General features: G+C 42.0%; 1 protein-coding gene across 1 annotated transcript in view; it reads right to left on the bottom strand.

Annotated features, from left to right (window-relative positions):
• The window catches only part of SEPTIN14 (septin 14), a 69213-nt gene extending 53888 nt beyond the window's left edge, over positions 1 to 15325 (bottom strand). The window contains exons 1-2 of the mRNA NM_207366.3: positions 15261 to 15325; positions 14516 to 14584 (exon numbers count right to left, since the gene is read on the bottom strand). Of these exons, the coding sequence (NP_997249.2) occupies positions 14516 to 14569 (54 nt within the window). The 5' untranslated portion in view covers positions 14570 to 14584; positions 15261 to 15325. The remainder of the gene's footprint in view (positions 1 to 14515; positions 14585 to 15260) is intronic.
• Positions 15326 to 24242: the final 8917 nt, after the last annotated feature.

The following is a 24242-nucleotide window of genomic DNA, read 5'->3' on the forward strand; positions in this document are numbered from 1 at the left end:
CCTAAATTGAACATATTGTAAGTCAAAACTGCATTTAACACACATAACAAAACTGAACATTATAGCTCAGCTTTGCCTGCCTTAGACATGCTCAGAACACTTACATTAGCCTACAGTTGGGCAAAATCAACTAACACAAAGCTTATGTTATAATAAAGTATTAAATATCTCATGTAATTTATCAAACAAAGTGAAAAACAGCACTATTATAGAGTCAACAATTTAAGTTGAATGATTGTAAGCTGGAGATCCTCTACATATGTGAGGAAACCAAAATCAATTTGAAATTTTTAAAAAATCAAATGATGTATACTTCAGATTTGTTATATACCCTCTGAGGACTTGTGTTATATCGAAGAAATCTACTACTAATAACACCATTCTAGAAAATTAGAAATCCATCAGTATTACACACAAAGTTACCAACTGATCATTTTTAAAAGGTTAAAAGATCATTCATTTTTTATTTTTAAGTACTTCTATTTTAAAAATGGGAATTATACAACCCCCTGCACAACTATAAACACATTAAATACCACTTTGCAATGACAGCTCAGCATACTTCACAGTTCTTAACACTATTTTATGAGGAATACAAAATACCTTTTTATTTAAATTAACCCGCTTTAAAAATGTTTTAGTATATGTGAGAATAAAGGAATTATAAATCAGTAGGAAAGATTTTAAGGTAGAAGCATCAACAATCAGCTCAGTAGATGTTGTCTACATTTATTTTGTACCTTTATAAAACAAGAACATGCTAATCGGCCTGGGAGGCAGAGGTTGCAGTAAGCTGAGATCTCGACTCACTGCAACCTCCATCACCCGGGCTCCAGCAATTTTCCAGCCTCGGCCTCTAGAAAAGCTGGGACTACATGCATGCGCCACCATGCCCAGCCAATTTTTGTATTTTTTGTAGAGAAGGGGTTTCACCATGTTGGCCAGGCTGGTCTCGAACTCCTGACCTCAGGTGATGCGCCTGCCTCGGCCTTCCAAAGTGCTGGGATTACAGGTGTGATCCACTGCACCTGGCTAATTTTTGTATTTTTGATAGAGACGGGGTCGCACCATGTTGCTTGGGCTGGTCTTGAATTCCTGAGCTCAAACAATCCTCCTGCCTTAGCCTCCAAAGGGCTGGGATTACAAGCTTGAGTCACTGAGCCCGATCTACTAACAGAGATTTTTTTTTTTTTTTTTTTTTGAGACGGAGTCTCGCTCTGTCGCCCAGGCTGCAGTGCAGTGGCACGATGGCTCACTGCAAGCTCCGCTTCCCGGGTTCACGCCATTCTCCTGCCTCAGCCTCCCGAGTAGCTGGGACTACAGGCACCTGCCACTACGCCCGGCTAATTTTTTGTATTTTTAGTAGAGATGGGGTTTCACCGTGTTAGCCAGGATGGTCTCGATCTCCTGACCTCGTGATCCGCCCGCCTCGGCCTCCCAAAGTGCTGGGATTACAGGCATGAGCCACCGCGCCTGGCCTACTAATAGAGATTTTAAAACAGCTATTATAAATGTGCAGAGACATAAAGGAAAGTGTGCATACACAATGAGTAAAAAGACAAAAATCCCAGGAGAAAAACAAAAATTATAAAATTAAGATAAAAGCAGAAAGCATGGCCAGGCACGTTGGCTCACGCCTGAAATCCCAGCAGTTTGAGAGGCTGAGGCAGAAGGATCACTTGAGGTTAGGAGTTCGAGACCAGCCTGGCCAACATAGTGAAACCCTGTCTCTACTAAATATACAAAAATGAACCCGGCATGGTGGCAGGAGCCTGTAATCCCAGCTACTCGGGAGGCTGAGGCAGGCGAATCCCTTGAGCCAGGGAGGCAGAGGTTGCAGTGAACTGAAATCGGACCACTGCATTCCAGCCTGGGCAACAGAGGGAGACTACATCTCAAAAATAAATAAATAAAAGCAGAAAGCAAAGAAATAGGAAATAGGTCTTAGAAAAAATTAAATAAGCAAAAATTTGCTGCTTTGAAAAGATTGATAAGATTGATAAACACCTAGCTGGACTAATAAAAACACCCAAAACAGCCAGGCATGGTGGCTCATGCCTGTAATCCCAGCACTTTGGGAGGCTGAGGCAGGGAGATCACCTGAGGTCAGGAGTTTGAGACCAGCCTGACCAACATGGAAAAACCCCGTCTCTACTAAAAATACAAAAATTAGCCGGGCATGGTGGCACACGCCTGTAATACCAGCTACTCAGGAGGCTGAGGTAGGAGAATCACTTGAACCTGGGAGGCAGAGGTTGCGGTGAGCCGAGATCGCACCACTGCACTCCAGCCTGGGCAACAGAGCAAGACTCCATCTCAAAAAAACAAAAAACAAACAAACAAAAAACACCCAAAACACAAATTGCTCATAGCAGAAGTGGGAGAATATTACTACAGACCACACAGATAACAAAATTAGACTACTGTGAACACATTGATGAACACATTTTGCCAATGATTTTGAAATAACTCTTTTGCCAACAAACTTGAAAATAAATAAATTTCATTGGGAAAAAAAACAAATTATAAAAATGACACAATGGGAAATAGGAAATCTAAATAGTCATATATCTATTGAAGAAATTATAGCCAAAAACCTTTCCACAAAGAAATCTTCAGGCCCTGCTGATTTCACTATTGAATTCTATCAACAAGCAGTTAAAAGAAAAATTCACACAAACTCTCTACAAAACAGAAGAGGGGGTAGTTTTTTCCAATGTATTTTATGAAACCAGATATAATGGCAATATAAACACCTGACAGGCCAGGGGCGGTGGCTCATGCCTGTATCCTAGCATTCTGTGAGGTTGAGGTGGGTTGGATCACCTGAGGTCAGGAGTTCAAGACAACCTGACCAACATGGTGAAACTCCATCTCTACTAAACACAAAAAATTAGCCGGGCATGGTGGCACGTGCCTGTAATCCCAGCTACCTGGGAGGCTAATGCAGGAGAATCCCTTGAACCCAGGAGGCAGAGGTTGCAGTGAGCTGAGATTACACCATGCACTCCAGCCTGGGCAACAGAGTGAGACTCCATCTCAAAAAAACAAACAAACGAACAAAAAACACCTGGCAAAGACATCACAAAAAGAGAAAATTATACATTAATTTCTGTCATGTGCATAGCTGCAAAAATTCTTTTTTACTACTATAATTTTAATTGTACAACTAGTAAGTGTGCAAATAAATTTTTCTTAACAACTGAAATATTGAAATGGAAGATAATATTCCATTTAACTATTCCCCACATCCTATCTCCTTCCTCTTTTCCCTATTTTTATGATTTTTAGGATTCTAGACATTAAAAAATACTTTTATATACACAAATATAGAGGTATTAAATTTTAAAAACACATACATGGCCAGGTACAGTGGCTCACGCCTGTAATCGCAGCACTTTGGGAGGTTGAGGTGGGCAGATCACCAGAGGTCAGGAGTTCAAGACCAGTCTGGCCAGCGTGGTGAAACCCGGTCTCTACTAAAAATACAAAAAAAAAAATTAGCCAGTCATGGTGGCGGAGGCCTGTAACCCCAGCTACTCAGGAGGCTAAGAGAGGAGAATTGATTGAACCCGGGAGGCAGAAGTTGCAGTAAGCCAAGATCGCGCCATTGCACGCCAGCCTGGGCCACAAGAGTGAAACTCTTGTCTCACAAAAAAAAAGCAAACATTCTGCAACTTGCTTTTTTCTACTAAAATTCTATACATGTTAATCAGCTAGCTTTATTGAGGAATAATTTATATGTAATAAAATTCACCAACTTTATGTGCACAATTTGATAAATTTTAACAAATGTGTATAGTAATGTAATCACCATCATGATCACCATATAGAACATTTCTGACATCCCTAAAACTTTCCCTATTAGCCCCTATTCAGTCAATTTGTAACCCTCATCCCTCAGCCCTGGCAACCTCTCATCTGTTTTCAGTTGCTATAGTTTTACTTTTTCTAGAATTTCATTTAGAAGAAATCATACTGCATGGAGTTTTTTTTTTTATCTTAACAAAACATTACCAATCAATTCACTTGTATATAAAAAAGATTATAGATTAAAACAATTGGCATTTATTCTAGAAATGCAAGGTTAATTCAGCACTCAAAAATCAATAAATGATAAACTATAAAATACTGATGCAAGAAATTGAAAAGGACACAAAAAAATGAAAAGATATTCCACGTGTATGGACTGAAAGAATCAATATCATTAAAATGTTCATACCACCGAAAGCAATCTACATATTTAACTCAATCCCTATCAAAATACCAATGACATTCTCCACAGAAATAGAAAAAATAGGCCGGGCGCGGTGGCTCACACCTGTAATCCCAGCACTTTGGGAGGCCGAGGTGGGTGGATCATGAGGTCAGGAGATCAAGACCAACCTGGCTAACACGGTGAAACCCTGTCTCTACTAAAAATACAAAAAAGAGGCTGGGCGCAGTGGCTCACGCCTGTAATCCCAGCACTTTGGGAGGCTGAGGCGGGTGGATCATGAGGTCAGGAGATCGAGACCATCCTGGCTAACACAGTGAAACCCCGTCTCTACTAAAAATACAAAAAATTAGCCAGGTGTGGTGGTGGGTGCCTGTAGTCCCAGCTACTCGGGAGGCTGAGGCAGGAGAATGACGTGAACCTGAGAGGCAGAGGTTGCAGTGAGCCGAGATTGCGCCACTGCACTCCAGCCTGGGCAACAGAGTGAGACTCTGTCAAAAAAAAAAAAAAGAAGAAGAAAAGAAAAAAGAAATAGAAAAAATAATCCTAAAATTTATACGTACCCACAAAAGACACAGAATATTCAAAGCAATGCTGAGTACTCTGGGTACACTGAAGGAATCACATTACTTGACTTCAAATTATAATACAGAACTACAATAACCAAAACAGCATGGTACTGGCATGAAAACAGACATATAGACCAATGGAACAGAATACAGAACTCAGAAATAAATTCAGACATGTACAGTGAACTCATTTTTGACGAAGGTGCTAATAGCATACAGTGGGGAAAGAAGAGTCTCTTCAATAAATTGTGCTGGGAAAATTGGATATCCATATGTAAAAGAATGAAAACAGACTCCTATCTCTTATCATATATAAAAATCAAATAAAAATGAATTAAAGACATAAATCTAAGCTGTGAAACTATGAACCTACTAAAAGAAAAGATTGGGGAAACTTTCCAGGACATTGACCTGGGCAAATATTTCTTGGATAATGCCCCACAAGCACAGGAAACCAAAGCAAAAATGGACAAATGGGATCATATGAAATTAAAAAGCTTCTACACAGCAAAGAAAGTGATCAACAAAGTGAGGAGACAACCCACTGAATGGGAGAAAATATTTGCAAACTATCCCCCGATAAGGGATTAATAACCAGAATATGTAAGAAGCTCAAATAACTCAATAGGAAAAAATCTAATAATCCAATTTAAAAAGTGGCAAGTGATTGGAATACACTTGTCTCAAAAGAAGACATACAAATGGCAAACAGGTATATAAAAAGGTGCTCAACATCATTGACCATCAGAGAAATTCCAATCAAACCTACAATGATATATCATCTCACCTGAGTTAAAGTGGTTTTTACCCAAAAGACTGGCAATAACAAATGCTGGCGAAAATGTGGAAAAAAAGAGAACCCTCTTACACTGTTGGTGCAAATGTGAATTAGTATGGAGAACGTATGGAGGTACCTCAAAAAACTAAAAATAGAACTACCTATGATCCAGCAATCCCACTGCTAGGTATATACCCAAAAGAAAGAAATTAGTACATTGAAGAGATATCTACACTCCCATGCTTATTGCAGCACTATTCACACTAGGCAAGATTTGGAAGCAACCTAAGTGTCCATCAACAGATGAATGGACCAAGAAAATGTGGTACATATACACAATGGAAAACTATTCAATCATCAAAAAGAATGAGATCTTGTTATTTCCAACAACATGGATGGAACCTAACATTATGTTAAGTGAAATAAGCAAGTCATGGAAAGACAAACTTCACATGTTCTCACTTACTTGTGGGAGCTAAAAATTAAAACAATTGAACTCATAGAGATAGAGAGTGGAAGGATGGTTACCAGAGGCTAAGAAGGGTAGTGGGGGTGGTGAGGGGATGGTTAATGGGTACAAGGATATAGTTAGATAGAATGAATAGGGCCCAGTATTTGGTAGCACAACAGGGCGACTATAGTCAACAATAAATTGTACATTTTAGAAGAATGAAGAGTACAATTGAAATGTTTCTAACACAAAGAAATGAAAAATACTTAAGGTAGTGGATACTCCATTTATCCTGATATGATTATTACACATTGTGCGCCTATAACAAAATATCTCATATGCCCCATAAATATATAGACCTGCTATGTACCCATAAAAATTAAAAAGTAAGGGCTGAGCGTGGTGGCTCATGCCTGTAATCCCAGAATTTTGGGAGGCTGAGGCTGGAAGATCGCGTGAGCTCAGGAGTTCGAGACCAATCTGGGCAACATAGTGAAACCCTGTCTCTACTGAAAATAAAAACTAAAAAAATAGCAGAGTATGGTGGTACATGCTCGTCGTCCCAGCTACTCTGGAGGCTGAGGCGGGAGAATCACTTAAGCCCAGGAGTTAGAGTTTGCAGTGAGCTATGATTGTGCCACTGCGCTGCAGCCTGGGTAACCGAGTAAAACCCTGTCTCAAAAAAAAAAAATTTAAAAATCAATAAACATATTTCACCATATTAATAGTATAAAGTAAAATCACCATATGACTGACTCAATAAGTGAAAAATATTATATTTGATGAATTGAATTGAATACCCATTTGTGATTTTTAAAGTCTATTAGTAAAATAAGAATTAAAGAGAACTTCATCAATCTGATAAAAACTGTATTAGAAAAAAATTTAAATCTAACATCATACTTAATAGTAAACATCTGAGTGCTTTCTTCACAAGATTGAAAATAAAGCAGAGATGTCAGCTGTTGCCATTTTATACATTGTACTGGAGGTTCTTTTTTTTTTTGAGACGGAGTCTCGCTCTGTCGCCCAGGTTGGAGTGCAGTAGTGCGATCTCGGCTCACTGCAAGCTCCGCCTCCCGGGTTCACGCTATTCTCCTGCCTCAGCCTCCTGAGCAGCTGGGACCATAGGCACCCGCCACCACGCCCGGCTAATTTTTTGTATTTTTAGTAGAGATGGGTTTCACCATGTTAGCCAGGATGGTCTCAATCTCCTGACCTTGTGATCCGCCCACCTCGGCCTCCCAAAGTGCTGGGATTACAGGCGTGAGCTACCACACCCGGCCTGTACTGGAGGTTCTTACCAGTCAATAAGGCAAACAAAAAGCATAAATATTCAAAAGAGTTTGTCATTTTATATTGAAAAAAGGTAGAAAATATACAAGAATCTACAGAGCATCTACCAGAACTACTAAGAGAACATATCAAAATTACAAGATACAAAGTCAATATACAAAAATCAGTTATATTCATTTCTAGCTTCTGCTCAGAGATGTGGAGAGCAGAAAAAAGACATCACTACTAATACTATAGGAATAAAATAATGAACTAAGGCAAGATCACAACTTTTTTTTTTTTTTTTTTTGAGACAGAGTCTCGCTCTTTCGCCCAGGCCGGAGTGCAGTGGCACTATCTCGGCTCACTGCAAGCTCTGCCTCCCAGGTTCACGCTATTCTCCTCTCTCAGCCTCCCAAGTAGCTGGGACTACAGGCGCCCGCCACCGTGCCCAGCTAATTTTTTGTATTTTTAGTAGAGGTGGGGTTTCACCGTGTTAGCCAGGATGGTCTCGAGCTCCTGACCTCATGATCCACCCGCTTCGGCCTCCCAAAGTGCTGGGATTACAGGCGTGAGCCACGGCGCCCGGTCAGATCACAACTTTTTAAAAACTCATCCTAGTACTGACGTTTCAGGTCGACCAATTGTTCCAGAATCGAAGGAGAGACAGAAACCCACAGGAAAAGACAAGATGGGAGCATCAACTTTTCTAGGCAAGAAAGACGCAGACATCAGTGAGAAGAGTTCTAAAGCAAGGAGCAAATTGCTAGAACATGCCTTGCCTGACAAGTAAAAAGTATGAGCCATAAAGAGGAATCATCTGTAGGTGCTTTTTTCTTTTCTTTTCTTTTCTTTTTGAGACAGAGTGTCGCTCTATTGACCAGGCTGGAGTGCAGTGGTGCGATCTCGGCTCACTGCAACTTCCGCCTCCCTGGTTCAAGCAATTCTCCTGACTCAACGTCCTGAGTAGCTGGGGTTATAGCCGTGCCACCACGCCCAACTAATTTTTGTATTTTTAGTAGAGACGGAGTTTCACTATGTTGGCCAGGTTGGTCTTGAACGCCTCACCTCGTGATCCACCCACCTCGCCCTCCCAAAGTGCTGGGATTACAGGCGTGAACTACCACGCCCAGGCCTGTAGCTGCTTTTTTTTGTTTGTTTTCTGGTTTGGTTTTTATTTGTCCTTATTTGGAAATCTGTCATTCTAAGTAGAGAATACAAGGTATATTAATTATATTTTTTAATTTATTAAGGTTTGATTTAATGTATGTATTTAATTTTTATTTGTAATTTCAACTTTTAGATTCAGAGAGTACATTTGCAGGTTTGTTATGAGGAAATACTGAATGTGCTGAGTTGGGGGTGTGAATGATCCCATCACCCAGGTACTGAGCATAGTACTCAATAGGTAGATTTTCTGCCCTCACCCCCTCCCTCCCTCACCCTCTAGTAGTCCTCAGTGTCCATTGTTGCCATCTATGGCATGAGTCTCATACTCATATGTCTATGAGTACCCAATGTTTACCCCCACTTATAAATGAGAACATGTGGTATTTGGTTTTCTGTTCATGTATTAATTAACTTAGGATAATGGCCTCCAGCAGCACCCATGTTGCTGCAAAGGACACATTTCATTTTTTATAGCTGCATAGTATTCCATGGTGTATATGTACCACTTTTTCGTTTTTTTTTTGATATGGAATCTTGCTCTGTCACCCAGGCTGGAGTGCAGTGGTGTGATTTCAGCTCACTGCAATCTCCGCCTCCCAGGTTCAAGCGATTCTCCTGCCTCAGCCTCCCGAATAGCTGAGATCACAGGTGCCCACCACCACACCTGGCTAATTTTTTGTATTTTTAGTAGAGACAAGATTTCACCATGTTGGCCAGCCTGGTCTCAAACTCCTGACCTCAGGTGATCCGCCTGTCTTGGCCTCCGAAAGTGCTGGGGTTACAGGCATGAGCCACCGCGCTTGGCCATGTACCACATTTTTTAATCCAATCTGCCACTGATGGACACCTAGGTTGATTCCATGTCTCAGCTATTGTGAATAGCGCTGAGATGAAAACAAGTGCAGGCCAGGTGTGGTGGCTCACACCCATAATCCCAACACTTCAGGAGGCTGAGGCAGGCAGATCACTTGAGGTCAGGAGTTTGAGAGCAGCTTGGCCAACATGGTGAAACCCCATCCCTACTAAAATTACAAACATTAGCTGGGCGTGGTGCATGCCTGTAATCTCAGCTACTCAGGAGGCTGAGGCACGAGAATCGGTTGAACCCGGGAAGTGGAGGTTCCAGTAAGCCAAGATTGTGCCACTGCACTCCCGCCTGGGTGACAGAGCGAGACTCTATCTCAAATTTAAAAAAAAGAAAACAGGATGGGCGTGGTGGCTTACACCTGTATTCCCAGCACTTTGAGAGGCTGAGGCAGGCGGATCACCTGAGGTCGGGAGTTTGAGACCAGCCTGACCAACATGGTGAAACCCCGTCTCTAATAAAAATACAAAATTAGCCAGGTGTGGTGGCGCATGCCTGTAATCCCAGCTACTCAGGAGGCTGAGGCAGGAGAATCACTTGAACCCAGGAGGCAGAGGCTGCAGTGAGCCAAGATTGAGCCATTGAACTCCAGCCTGGGCAACAAGAGGAAAACTCTGTCTCGAAAAGAAAAGAAAAGGAAAAAAGAGAAGAGAAGAGAAGAGAAAGAAGAGAGAGAAGAGAAGAGAGAAAAGGAAAGGAAGGGAAGGGGAGGGGAGGGGAGAGGAAGGGAGGGGAGGGGAGGGAAGGGAAGGGAAGGGAAGGGAAGGGAAAGGAAAGGAAAGGAAAGGAAGAGAGGAGGGGAGGGGAGGGGAGGGGAGGGGAGCCTGTGTCTTTTTTTTTTTTTTTTTTTTTTTTTGAGACGGAGTCTCGCTGTCGCCCAGGCTGGAGTGCAGTGGCACGATCTCGGCTCACTGCAAGCTCCGCCTCCCGGGTTCACGCCATTCTCCTGCCTCAGCCTCCCGAGCAGCTGGGACTACAGGCGCCCGCCACCACGCCCGGCTAATTTTTTGCATTTTTAGTAGAGACGGGGTTTCACCGTGTTAGCCAGGATGGTCTCGATCTCCTGACCTCGTGATCCGCCCGCCTCGGCCTCCCAAAGTGCTGGGATTACAGGCGCGAGCCACCGCGCCCGGCCACCTGTGTCTTTTTTGTAGAACAAAAAATAATCTGTAGCTCCTTGAAAACTTTTTCTCCTTGAACTCAACTAGACATTCAGTGAAAGATTGATAGGACTCTGAAAAAAAAATATCTCTCTCAAGTTACAGAACTGGGACATGCAACAGCAGCAATGCTGGCAAGAAGCTCCACTCACAACTTTCTCCTCTACAGAATAAAAAAGCCTTCATCTATGGGTGAAGAGCCAGGAAGCACTCTCTTAGGGCGCTGGTGAAAGCACATTGCTGCTGAAAGTAGGGAACACAAAGAAAGCTTGAAGCCCTAGAAGATGTGCAGAAATTCACAATGGATTCAGAACCATGTCAGAAGAAGAGAAAGAGAAGGTCAAATCCCTGGGGCCCAGAGGGAGAGTGTTTGCCTAAGACTGGCAATCAAATAAAAAAGTATTCTCACGTACCTTCATCACCAGGCTAACTGCTGTCAAGATACATATTCTTTGCAAGAGATATTGCAAGAGACATACTCTTTCTGAGGCATAGCACAAAAGGAAGACTTAAGGTTGAGGGTGAAATCATCATCAGAAAAACATCCTCTGGCAAACCAACCCCACCCTCAACACAAGGTATCACCAGAGGCATTCAAAGCCCATAGGGTAGGCCAGGCGCAGTGGCTCATGCCTGTAATCCCAGCACTTTGGGAGGCAGAGGCGAGCAGATCACCTGAGGTTGAGAGTTTGAGACCAGTCTGACCAACATGGAGAAACTCCCTCTCCACTAAAAATACAAAATTAGTCGGGCGTGGTGGCGCATGCCTATAATCCCAGCTACTCAGGAGGCTGAGGCAGGAGAATCGCTTGAACTCAGGAGGCAGAGGTTGCAATGAGCAGAGATTGTGCCACTGCACTCCAGCCTGGGCAACAAGAGTGAAACTCTATCCCCCGCCAAAAAAAGCCCATAGGGTAGTAAGAATCACACTATAGCAACATCAAATCTCAAGCCCAGCTTTACTCAGAGAAACACAAACCTCTGTACTAAAGGCCTGGTAAAAGAAAAGGCATGTCAGTTTCAGACATAAAATCTACTTATCTCAGTTTCTATGGTTCTACATAAGATGTCCAGTTTTCAGCCTCCAAAATTAGCTGGGCATGGTGGTGGGCTCCTATAATCCCAGCTACTTGGGAGGCTGAGGCAGGAGAATTGCTTGAACCTGGGAGGTGGAGGTTGCAGTGAGCAGAGATAGCGCCATTGCACTCCAGCCTGGTTAACAAGAGCGAAACTCCATCTCAAAAAAAAAAAAAAAGTATTGTCAAGACCAATGTCCAGGACATTTTCCCCTATGTTATCTTCTCAGAGTTTTATGATTTCAGGTCTTACTTTTAGGTCTTTTATCTATTTTGAGTTGGTTTTTTGGTATAGTATAAGATAATGGTCCAATATCATTCTTTTGCATATAGAAATTCAGTTTTCCTGGAACCATTTAGTGAAGAGATGATTTTTTTCCTCATTATGTCCTCTTGGTGCCCTTTTCAAAAATTAGCTAACCATGAATGTTTGGATTTATTTCTGGGAGCTCTATTGTGTTTCACTGGTCTATGTTTCTGTTTCTATGATGGTACCATACTATACTGATTACTATAGCTTTGTAATATAATTTTAAATCAGGATGTGTGATGCTCTGTGTTCATTGCAGTATTTTTTTAATAGCTAAGATATGGAAACTTAAGTTCTATTATGATCCTAGTCACTCTTTTTTCAATCCCTCCCTTCACTTCTTTTATCCCTCTCTCCCTTCCTCCCTCTCTTTCTCTCATTCTTTGTTTCCACTATAAATGGAACTACCGTATGATCTAGCAATCCCACTACTGGGTATATACCCAAAGGAAAAAAAATCAGTATATAGAAGAGATCTCTGCATCCCTGTGTTTATTGAACCTGTATTCACCACAGCAAAAATATGGAATCAACCTAAGTGTCCATCAACAGACATATGGATTAAAAAGTTGTATATATACACATTTAAATACTATTTGGGGCCAGACGTGATGGCTCACGCCTGTAATCCCAGCACTTTGGGAGGCTGAGGCGGGTGGATCACCAGAGGTCAGGAGTTTGAAACCAACCTGGCCAATATGTTGAAACCCCATCTCTACTAAAAATACAAAATTATCCAGGCATGGTGGCGCATGCCTGTAATCCCAGCTACTTGGGAGGCTGCGGCAGGAGAATCAATTGAACCTGGGAGGCAGAGGTTGCAGTGAGCTGAGATCATGCCATTGCACTCCAGCCTGGGCAACAAGAGTGAAACTCCATCTCAAAAAAAAAAAAAAATACAATTTGGCCACACAAAAAAATGAAAACCTGTCATTTGCATTAACATGGATGGAACTAGAGGTCATTATGTTAAGTGAAGTAAGTCAGACACAGAAAGACAAATATGTCACTCATATGCATCAGCTTAAAAAGTTGACCTCATAGAGGTAGAGTAGAATGATAGCTACCAGAGGCTGGGAAGGGTGTGTGAGTAGTGGGGGGATGAACAGAGGTTGGCTGGTGGGTTCAAACATTCAGTTAGGCAGAAGAAATAAGTTCTGATGTTCTATAGCAGAGTAGGGAGACTATAGTTTATAACAATGTATTGTATATTTCAAAATAGCTAAAAGAGGGGATTTGAAATGTTCCCAAAACATAGAAATAATAAATATTCCAGGTAATAGATACATGAAGCACCCTGACTTGATTATTATGTATTCTATGCATATAATAAAATATCACATGTACCCCATCAATATGTATTAATATTACATATCATTTAAATTTTTTAAAAAACAGAGGGGTCCTTGGAGAGGTAATTAGGTCATATGGCTCCACCCACATGAATAGGACTAGTGCTTTTATAACAGAAGCTTGAGGGACACTGTTTGCTTCTCCTGCCATGTGAGGACACAGCTAGAAGCCATTTTTGAAGCAGAGAGTAAGCCCCCACCTGACACCAAACCTGCTGGTGCTTTGATCTTGGACTTCCCATCCTCTAGAACTGTGAACAATGCATTTCTATTGTATATAAATTACCAAGTCTGAGGTATTTTGTTATAGCTGCCCAAACAGACTAAGACACTTGCTAAAGATTTGTTGCTAGCATTTGCATATCAGCATTTGCATAATGTTTGACTAATTGGCTTTTGGGATCCCTTCTAATCCTAAAATTTTATGTTTTAGAGTCATGTGAACAAAGGAGTATTAACCATGATTTGTTAAACAAGAAAGCCCAAAGATAAAATGGAATGAGCATAGGCCAATGTTTCAGTCCCTGAGAAATTCCTCTGATGGTTATTCATGAAAAGCAATGACAGGCCAGGCGCAGTGGCTCATGCCTATAATCCCAATACTTTGGGAGACTGAGGCGGGTAGATCACCTGAGGTCAGGAGTTCGAGACCAGCCTGGCCCACATGGTGAAACCCTGTTTCTACTAAAAAAAAATCCAAAAGTTAGCCAGGCATGAAGGCAGGTGCCTGTAATCCCAGCTACTTGGGAGGCTGAGGCAGGAGAATCACTTGAACCCAGGAGGCAGAGGTTGCAGTGAGCTGAGATCACGCCACTGCACTCCAGCCTGAGCAACAGAGCCAGACTCAGTCTCAAAAAAAAAAAAAAAACTTGCTCTAACCTCACACTCAGTAAAGCAATCAGCAAGCAGCCATCCAACCATTTGCTAAAATAACTTCATTAAAAAATTATTTATTGTCAGTGCATACATTCTGCAAATATATCCATCAAAACAGCACTGTTCTTCTCATTTATTGGGCGATTCAGAAGTTTTACTTTGAATTTCTTTGGTGTTAAGTAGAAATAGTCTGTTGCACTGCTAACAAGGTCATCGGACTCAAAAAACATGTAACAATTATCTAAATCACCATTGATACTTAAAACTCCAATTAGTATAAAAGCTAATTCATGCCCAAACATAACAAACAAGACTTTATCTTCTATGCCTACATCAGTTTTCCAAGTCAATATTTTTAGGCTATATAATCTTATTGAAGTACAAAATGCAGAGTTATATTTGAAAGATATACTTAACTGTATCTCCATCAGCAGGTATTTGTGTGGGCATAGCCATTGTTCTTTCTGCCATGCTACACTAAAAGAGCTGGAAATTTAAAAAAATAAACATTTTTAAAAATTTCTTACAAAGGCTATATTCTTACTATATAATTTAGATAATTAGGGGGCATAATATGGGTATTTTTGCAAGCTTTAGTTTTTAGTTCACACTATTCATCTGTTTTAAACTGTGGCTGTCTTGCTAGATGGGCTTCTACATGATGAATAATATGTAATATTCAACTTATAATGTAGAGTAATACATTTAACCATAAGCACACAAAAAGCATCTTAAAGTTAAACTCCCTTTGGAAATCAAGAGGATAAGAGCATTCTTCTTCTTTAAATGACTCCATGGTCGTAAGAAAGGAAAGTAGAAAATTTTGCTTTAAAAAATGGTTAAAAAAAAAACAAAACAAGACACTCACAAGCACTTAACTTTCCAGAGTAGCATACCAGAGGAGGCTTAGGCATTTGAATTTACCCATTGAAAGAGAATTGTGAAAGCAGACCTTAAAAAACCTAAACAAGTTCTTTAGACACTGAACTAAAATAATGATAATTCTCATTTATGAAGCATCTATTATACAGCTAGCATTGTGCTAAGGGTTTATGTGCTTTATTTACCTCTGTTAGTCCTCATAGTAGATCTGAGATGTATGTATTTTCATTGCCATATGCCAGGTGAAAAAATTCAGACTCAGAAAGATTAAATAACTTACTTTCCCAGGGATTCAGCTGTGCAGCAGACACAGGTCCGAACTGATTCCAAGCTGGTGTCCTTTCTACTGTCCCCAGTTGTGGACCAAATAAATATTCACTGTGTTTGTAACAGTTGGGAACAGGGAGGAGAGGTACAAGAGAGCGTGCTGTGCTCATCTCCAAGCAGAACTGCCTGAGAAGGCCATGCTACCCTACTTTTGAACACAGCACAGAGATACTAAGAATATGAGACATGTTTCAAAAGGAAATATTATATATTTATAAAGCAAGTATTTGAAATATTTGAGAAGCAAACAGAATCAAAGAATGGTTCTGTGCCATAATCTCTTCACTTGCTCTATCCTGAGGATTATTGCACTTTAGTATACAAACGTATATCATTTTCCCTAAAATTAAGCAATGTTTTCTGATATAGATAGAGTTCTGTTTTGTGGTGTGGTTTAATCTAGACCAGTATGTATGAAGGTTTTTAAAATTTATTTATTTATCAGAAACTTAATGGTGGACATTGCAGTAATTTTGAGCCTTTTTTTTTTTTTGCTCTACCTCCTGGGTTCACACCATTCTCCTGCCTCAGCCTCCCTAGTAGCTGGGACTACAGGCACCCGCCACCACGCCCAGCTAATTTTTTGTATTTTTAGTAAAGATGAGGTTTCACTGTGTTAGCCAGGATAGTCTCAATCTCCTGACCTTGTGATCCACCTGCCTCAGCCTCCCAAAGTGCTGGGATTACAGGTGTGAGCCACCGCACCTGGCCAGTAATTTCTAGCCTTTAATGGAAATCAGCAACAAACATTGTTGATTTAAGTCAACAATGTTTGGCCAGGCACAGTGGCTAACACCTATAATCCCAGCACTTTGGGAGGCCGAGGCAGGCGGATTACTTGAGGCCAAGAGTTTCAGACCAGACTGGCCAACATGGCAAAATCCCATCTCTACTAAAAATACAAAACTTAGCTGGGCATAGCGGTGCAGGCCTGTAATCCCAGCAACTCAGGAGGCTGAGGCACGAGAATTGCTTGAACCCAGAAGGTGGAGGTTGCAGTGAGCCAAGATCCCGCCACTGCATTCCAGCCTGGGAGACAGAACAAGACTCTGACTCAAAAAATAAATAACAATGTTTATTTAAATCAACAATAAATATTGTTTTTGAAATACTGTAGTAATTTGAAGTAAACTACTACAAAATTCAAGAGTCTCTATCTCTGTATAATGACTGAATTTTTGGCAAATCTGCCAAAAATTATTTGAGAACTAGAGATGCAACTTATCTTGTATTTAAAAGCCTAATTAAGTGTCTTAAACAAAGAGGGGTTTATTTCTTTCACATAAGTCTAGAGCAGAAGTTTTTCAAAGTACGATCACTGGGCCCTGAGGATTCCTGAGATTCTTTTGCGGGGGGCCTATGGGTTCAATTTTTTTCTAATAATACTAGGGTTTTTTGTTTTTTGTTTTTGTTTTGAGATAGGTTCTCACTCTGTCACCAAGGCTGGAGCGCAATGGCGCAGTCGCAACTCACTGTAGCCTCAACCTCCCAAACTCAAGCGATCCTCCACACCTCAGCCTCCCAAATAGCTGGGATTACAGGCACCTGCCATCATGCCCTGCTAATTTTTGTACTTTTTTGTAGAGACAGGGTTTTGCCATGTTGCCCAGGCTGATCTTGAACTCCTGAACTCAAGCAATTCTTCTGCCTGGCCTCCCAAAGTCCTGGGATTACAGGTGTGAGTAGTATGGCCACTGCACTTAGCCAATAGTAGGGTTTAATTTGCCTTTCTACTGTGTTGATGTTTACACTGATGGTTCAAAAGCAATGGTGGTTGAAACTACTGCTACCTTCAGCCGGGCACGGTGGCTCACACCTGTAATCCTAACACTTTGGGAGGCCAAGGTGGGTGTATCACCTGAGGTCAGGAGTTCGAGACCAGCCTGGCCAACATGGCAAAACCCTGTCTCTACTAAAAATACAAAAAATGGCTTGGCGTAGTCGCTGGCACCTGTAATCCCATCTACTCGGGAGGTTGAGGCAGGAGAATTGCTTGAGCCCAGGAGGCAGAGGTTGCAGTGAGCAGAGGTCATGCCACTGCACTCCAGCCTGAGCAACAAGAGCAAGACGCCATCTCAAAACAAAACAAAACAAAACACAAAAAACTGCTACCTGCACCAAAAAAATGCCTCCAAATTGTATTATTAGTTATTGAACTATTCACTTCACATATTCACAACAATAAAAACCAATGAATACACGTAAAGCATTTATACTGTATACAAGTATGATGGTTGCCTTGAGGAAAACAAGTTCTGTGATTGATTGAGTTTTGAGAAATAGGAACTCCTTTTTTTACGGAACGTTATTAATTTCAAGTGCAACTGACAAACACTGATGATTTAAGCTTGGGGATTTCTCTTTTTTTGAGACTGAGTCTCACTCTGTCACCCAGGTTGGAGTGCAGTGGAGCGATCTCAGCTCACTGCAAGCTCCGCCTCCTGGGTTCACGGCATTCTCCTGCCTCAGCCTCCCGAGTAGCTGGGACTACAGGCGCCCACCACCACGCCCAGCTAATTTTTTTGTATTTTTAGTAGAGACGGGGTTTCACCGTGTTAGCCAGGATGGTCTCCATCTCCTGACCTCGTGATCTACCCGCCTCGGCCTCCCAAAGTGCTGGGATTACAGGCGTGAGCCACCGCGCCGGGCCAAGCTTGGGGATTTCTAAGACAGATTCTTGAAAATGAATGAAGCATGGTTTGTAACATCAAGAAAAATAACTAAGCCAGGCGAGGTGGATCGTGCAATACCAGCACTTGGGAATCTGAAGCAGGAGAACTGCTTGAGCCCAGAAGTCTGAAACTAGCCTGGTCAGCATAGTGAGACCCAGTCTCTACAAAAGAAAAATTTAAAAATTAGTCAGGCATGGTGGTGCGTGCCTGTAGTCCCAGCTACTCCGGAGACTGAGACAGAAAGATTGCTGGAGCGCCAGAGTTTGAGGCTACAGTGAGCTATGATCACGCCATTGCACTCCAGCCAGGGCAACAGAGTGAGATCCTGTCTAAAGAAACAAACAAACAAAAAATAATGAATGAAAAGAAAAGATTAGAAAACTAAGTGAAAATGTACTTTTTAAATGATAAAATTTACACTTTTGTAAATTTTGTAATATGAGCTTTACAGCTAAAATTAGAGTTTTTGGAGAAATTCTATCAACCATCATGATCTTGATAGCTTCCCAACATTTAAAAACTTTTCTAAAAACATTGGTAGAGATATTAACAATACAAATGTTTGATTTTTTTTTTTTTTGAGACAGAGTCTCACTCTGTCGCCCAGACTGGAGTGCAGTGGCACAATCTCGGCTCACTGCAACCTCTGCCTCCTGGGTCCAAGTGATTCTCCTGCCTCAGCCTCCCAAGTAGCTGGGACTACAGGCACGTGCCACTGTACTTGGCTAATTTTTTGTATTTTTAGTAGAGATGGGGTTTCACCATGTTAGCCAGGATGGTCTTGATCTCCTGACCTTGTGACTGGCCCGCCTCGGCCTCCCGAAGTGCTAGGATTACAGGCATGAGCCCCTGCGCCTGACCAACAGATGTTTTTCAAATAACCAATGCCTGGCCGGGCGCGGTGGCTCACGCCTGTAATCCCAGCACTTTGGGAGGCCGAGGCGGGCGGATCACGAGGTCAGGAGATCGAGACCATCCCGGCTAAAAAAACGGTGAAACCCCGTCTTTACTAAAAATACAAAAAATTAGCCGGGCGTAGTGGCGGGCGCCTGTAGTCCCAGCTACTTGGGAGGCTGAGGCAGGAGAATGGCGTGAACCCGGGAGGCGGAGCTTGCAGTGAGCCGAGATCCCGCCACTGCACTCCAGCCTGGGCCACAGAGCGAGACTCCGTCTCAAAAAAAAAAAAAAAAAAAAAAAATGACCAATGCCTGACATTACAAAGATACACGTGAGTTTACGATCCATTTGAAGAGTCAGACAGACCAGATTTTTTTAAATTTTATTATACATCGACAAATTATCATTATATATAGTTATGGGTACAAAGTGATGTCATAAATTTTTAGTACAATATGAAATAACTAATCAAATTGACATACTCATAACCTGAAATATTTAGTTTTTTTGTGGTGAGAACATTTGAAATTTACCGTCTTAGTAATTTTGAAATGGACAGTGCACAAGTATTTTCTTTTTTCTTTTTTTATTTTTTTGAGACAGAGTTTCACTCTTGTTGCCCAGGCTGGAGTGCAATGGTGCTATCTCGGCTCACTGCAACCTCTGCCTCCCGAGTTCAAGCGATTCTCCTTCCTCAGCCTCCCGAGTAGCTGAGATTACAGGCATGCACCACCACGCCCTGCTAATTTTTTGTATTTTTAGTAGAAATGGGGTTTCACCATGTTAAGCAGGCTGGTCTCGAACTCCTGACCTCAGGTGATCCGCCCACCTCAGCCTCCCAAAGTGCTGGGATTACAGGCGTAAGCCACCACACCTGGCCAACAGTGCACAATTACTAAGTATATTCACCAACCTGTGCAATAGCTCTCAAAAAATCCAAATCTTCCCAAACTAAAACTTTATATCCATAAAACAATAACTATCCTTTCTCCCCTATTTCTGGGACTCACAATTGTATTTTCTGTGTCTATGAATTTGACTACTTTAGGTACCTCATACAAATGGGATTCTGTAACATTTGTCCCTTTGTGACTGAATTATTTCATTTAGCATAATGTCTTCAAGGTTCATCTCTGTTTTAACATGTGTCAGAATTTCCTTCCTTTTTAGGGCTAAATGATATTCCATTGTACATACATACCATATATTGCTTATCCATTCATTTATCAGTGGACATTTCAGTTGCTTCCACCTGTTGGCTATTGTGAATAATGCTGCTGTGAATATAAATGTGCAAATATCTTTTCTGGACCCTGCTTTCTATTCTTTTGGGCATACACCCTGAGGTGGAATTGTTGAATCGTATGGTAATTCTATGCTTAATGCTGTTGTTGTTGTTGCTGTTGTTTGAGACTAAGCCTCACTCTGTCACCCAGGCTGGAGTATAATGGCGTGATCTCGGCTCACTGCAACCTCTGCCTCCCGGGTTCAAGCGATTCTCCTCCCTCAGCCTCCCGAGTAGCTGGGCTTACAGGCGCACGCCACTGTGCCTGGCTACTTTTTGTCTTTTTAGTAGAGACAGGGTTTTGCCATGTTGGCCAGGCTGTTCTCAAACTCCTGATCTCAGGTGATCCGCCTGCCTCAGCCTCCCAAAGTGCTCAGATTACAGGCGTGAGCCACTGTGCCCAGCATCTATGTTTAATTTTTAAAGAAAACCCAAACACAGCAGCCACACCATTTTACATTCCCAGCAACATGCACAGGGTGCGAACTTCTCCATGACTTCACCAGCACATGTTACTGTGGTTTTGGATAGCAGCCATCCTAATGGGTGTGTGTACCTAAAAGTATCTGAGACAGGTCTCAATCAATTTAGAAAGTTTAGGCCGGGTGCGGTGGCTCACGCCTGTAATTCCAGCACTTTGGGAGGCCAAGGTGGGTGGATTGCCTGAGGTCAGGATTTGAGACCAGCCTGGCTAACATGGTGAAACCCCGTCTACTAAAAATACAAAAATTAGCCGGGCATGGTGGCAGGCACCTATAGGCTGAGGCAGGAGAATTGCTGGAACCCAGGAGGTGGAGGTTGCAGCGAACCAAGATCATGCCCACTGCACTCCAGCCTGGGTGACAGAGCAAGACTCCATCTCCAAAAAAAGAGAAAAAGAAAGTTTATTTTGCCAAGGTTAAGGACACTCCTGTGACACAGCATCAGGAGGTCCCGATGACATGTGCCCAAAGTGGTCAGGGGTACAGTTTGCTTTTACACATCAGGGAGACATAATATACATCAATCAATATGTGTAAAATTTACATTGGTTTGATCTGGAAGGGTGAGACAACTTGAAGTTGTGTGGGGAGGGGAGGTTCAAGGTCATAAGTAGATTTTTAAATGTTGTGATTGGCAATTGGTTGAAAGAATTGTTATCAATAGAAAGGAATGTCTGGGTAACAATAAAGGGTTCTGGAAACCAATGTTTTATTATGCAGATGAAGCCTCCAAGTAGCAAGATTCAGGGAGAACAGATTGTAAATGTTTCTTATCAGACTTAAAGTCTGTTGATGTTAATGCTGGTCAGTTTTGTAAATACACCAATCAGCACTCTGTGTCTAGCTCAAGGTTTGTAAACACACCAATCAGCACCCTGTGTCTAGCTCAGGGTTTGTGAATGCACCAATTGACACTCTGTATCTAGCTACTCTGGTGGGGCCTTGGAGAACCTTTATGTCTAGCTCAGGGATTGTAAATACACCAATCGGCACTCTGTATCTAGCTCAAGGTTTGTAAACACACCAATCAGCACCCTGTGTCTAGCTCAAGGTTTGTGAATGCACCAATCGACACTCTGTATCTAGCTACTCTGGTGGGGACGTGGAGAACCTTTGTGTCTAGCTCAGGGATTGTAAACGCACCACTCAGCGCCCTGTCAAAACAGACCACTCAGCTCTACCAATCAGCAGGACGTGGGTGGGCCCAGATAAGAGAATAAAAGCAGGCTGCCCGAGCCAGCAGTGGCAACCCAGCTCAGGTCCCCTTCCACACTGTGGAAGCTTTGTTCTTTGCTCTTTGCAATAAATCTTGCTACTGCTCACTCTTTGGGTCCACACTTCTTTTATGAGCTGTAACACTCACCACAAAGGTCTGCAGCTTCACTCCTGAAGCCAGCGAGACCACGAGCCCACCGGGAGGAACAAACAACTCCAGAAGCGCTGCCTTAAGAGCTGTAACACTCACCACGAAGGTCTGCAGCTTCACTCCTGAGCCAGGGAGACCACAAACCCACCAGAAGGAAGAAACTCCGAACACATCCGAACATCAGAAGGAACAAACTCCAGACACGCCACCTTAAGAGCTGTAACACTCACCGCGAGGGTCCGCGGCTTCATTCTTGAAGTCAGTGAGACCAAGAACCCACCAATTCCAGACACAATTTTATTTATTTATTTTTTTTTTTTTTAGATGGAGTCTCACTGTCACCTAGGCTGGAGTGCAGTGGTGCAATCTTGGCTCACTGCAACCTCCGCCTCTCAGGTTCAAATGATTCTCCTGCTTCAGCCTCCCAAGTAGCTGGGACTACAGGCACGTACCACCACACCCAACTAATTGTTGTGTTTTCTTAGTAGAGATGGAGTTTCACCATGTTGGCCAGGGTGGTCTTGAACTCCTGACCTCAGGCGATCCACCCGCCTTGGCCTCCTAAAGTGCTGGGATTACAGGCGTGAGCCACCATGCCCAGCCAATTTTTGTATTTTTAGTAAAGATGGGGTTTCACCATGTTGGCCAGGCTGGTCTCAAACTCCTGGCCTCAAGTGATCACCTTGAGTGCTAGGATTCCAGGTGTGAGCCACTGCACTTGGCCCCTATAAAAGTTTGGAAAAAAGGAGAAAAATTTCAGGACCTGGCGCTGGTGAAAAATTCTTAGACTTGACAACAAAGACAATACATAAAAGAAAAAACTGGTAAATTATCATCAAAATTTAAAAATTAAAAATATTTGCACTGTGAAAATTCTATGTAAAGGATAAAAAGACAGGCTACAGACTAGGGGAAAATATTTTCATACCACACATTTAACACTGAACTTGAATCTAGAATACATAAATAACTTTTTTAAAACTCAAAAGCAGCCTGGGATTTGAGGTTGCAGTGAGCTAGGATTGTGCCACTGCACTCCAGTCTTGGCAACAGAGCAAGACCCTGTCTCTAAAAAATTACAGAGATGCTGGGAGAACTGGCTAACCATATACAGAAAATTGAAATTGGACATCTTCCTTACATCATACACAAAAATCAATGCAAGATAGATTACAGACTTAAATGTGCAACTCAAAGCTATAAAAACCCTAGAAGAAAACCTAGGCAACACCATTCAGGACATGGGCACGGGCAAAGATTTCACAACAAAGAGGACAGAACAATTGCAACAAAAGCAAAAATTGACAAATGGGATCTAATTAAAGAGCTTCTGCACAGCAAAAGAAACAATCAACAGAGTAAACAGACAACCTACAGAATGGAAGAAAATTTTTGCAATCCATCCATCTGATAAATGTCTGATATCCACCATCTATAAGGAACTTAAACGATTGTACAAGAAAAAAACACCACCATTAAAAAGTGGGCAAAGGACATGAACGGACACTTGTCAAAAGAAGACATACATACATGCACTCAAAAAGCTCAAGATCACTGATCATTAGAGAAATGCAAATCAAAACCACAATGAGATACCGTCTCACACCAGTCAGAATAGTGATTATTAAAAAGTCAAAAAACAACAGATGCTGGTGAGGTTGTGGAGAAAAAGGAACACTTTTACACTGTTGGTGGGAGAGTAAATTAGTTCAGCCATTGTGGAATACAGTGTAGCGATTCCTCAAAGACCCAGAGGCAGAAATACCATTTGACTCAGCAATCCCATTACTGGGTGTATACCCAGAGGAATATAAATGATTCTATTATAAAGATACATGTACTTGTATGATCACTGCAGCACTATTCACAATAAAAAGACATGGAATTAGCCTCAATCGCCATCAATAATAGATTGGATAAAGAAAATCTGGTATAGATATACCATGGAATACTATGCAGCCATAAAAAGGAACAAGAAAGATCATGTCCTTTGCAGGGACATGGATGGAGCTGGAAGCCATTATCTTCATCAGACTAATGCAGTAACAGAAAACCAAATACCACGTGTTCTCATCATTCGGCTCGCGCTCACAAGTGCGAGCCGAATGATGAGAACTCATGGACACATGGTGGGGAACAACACACACCGGCGCCTGTCGGAGGGTAGGAGGTAGGAGGAGGGAAAGCATCAGGAAGAACAACTAATGGATGCTGGCCTGAATACCTAGGTAAT

The sequence above is a fragment of the Homo sapiens genome, chromosome 7, assembly GCF_000001405.40.
Source record: "Homo sapiens chromosome 7, GRCh38.p14 Primary Assembly".
Taxonomy (NCBI): Eukaryota; Metazoa; Chordata; class Mammalia; order Primates; family Hominidae; genus Homo; species Homo sapiens.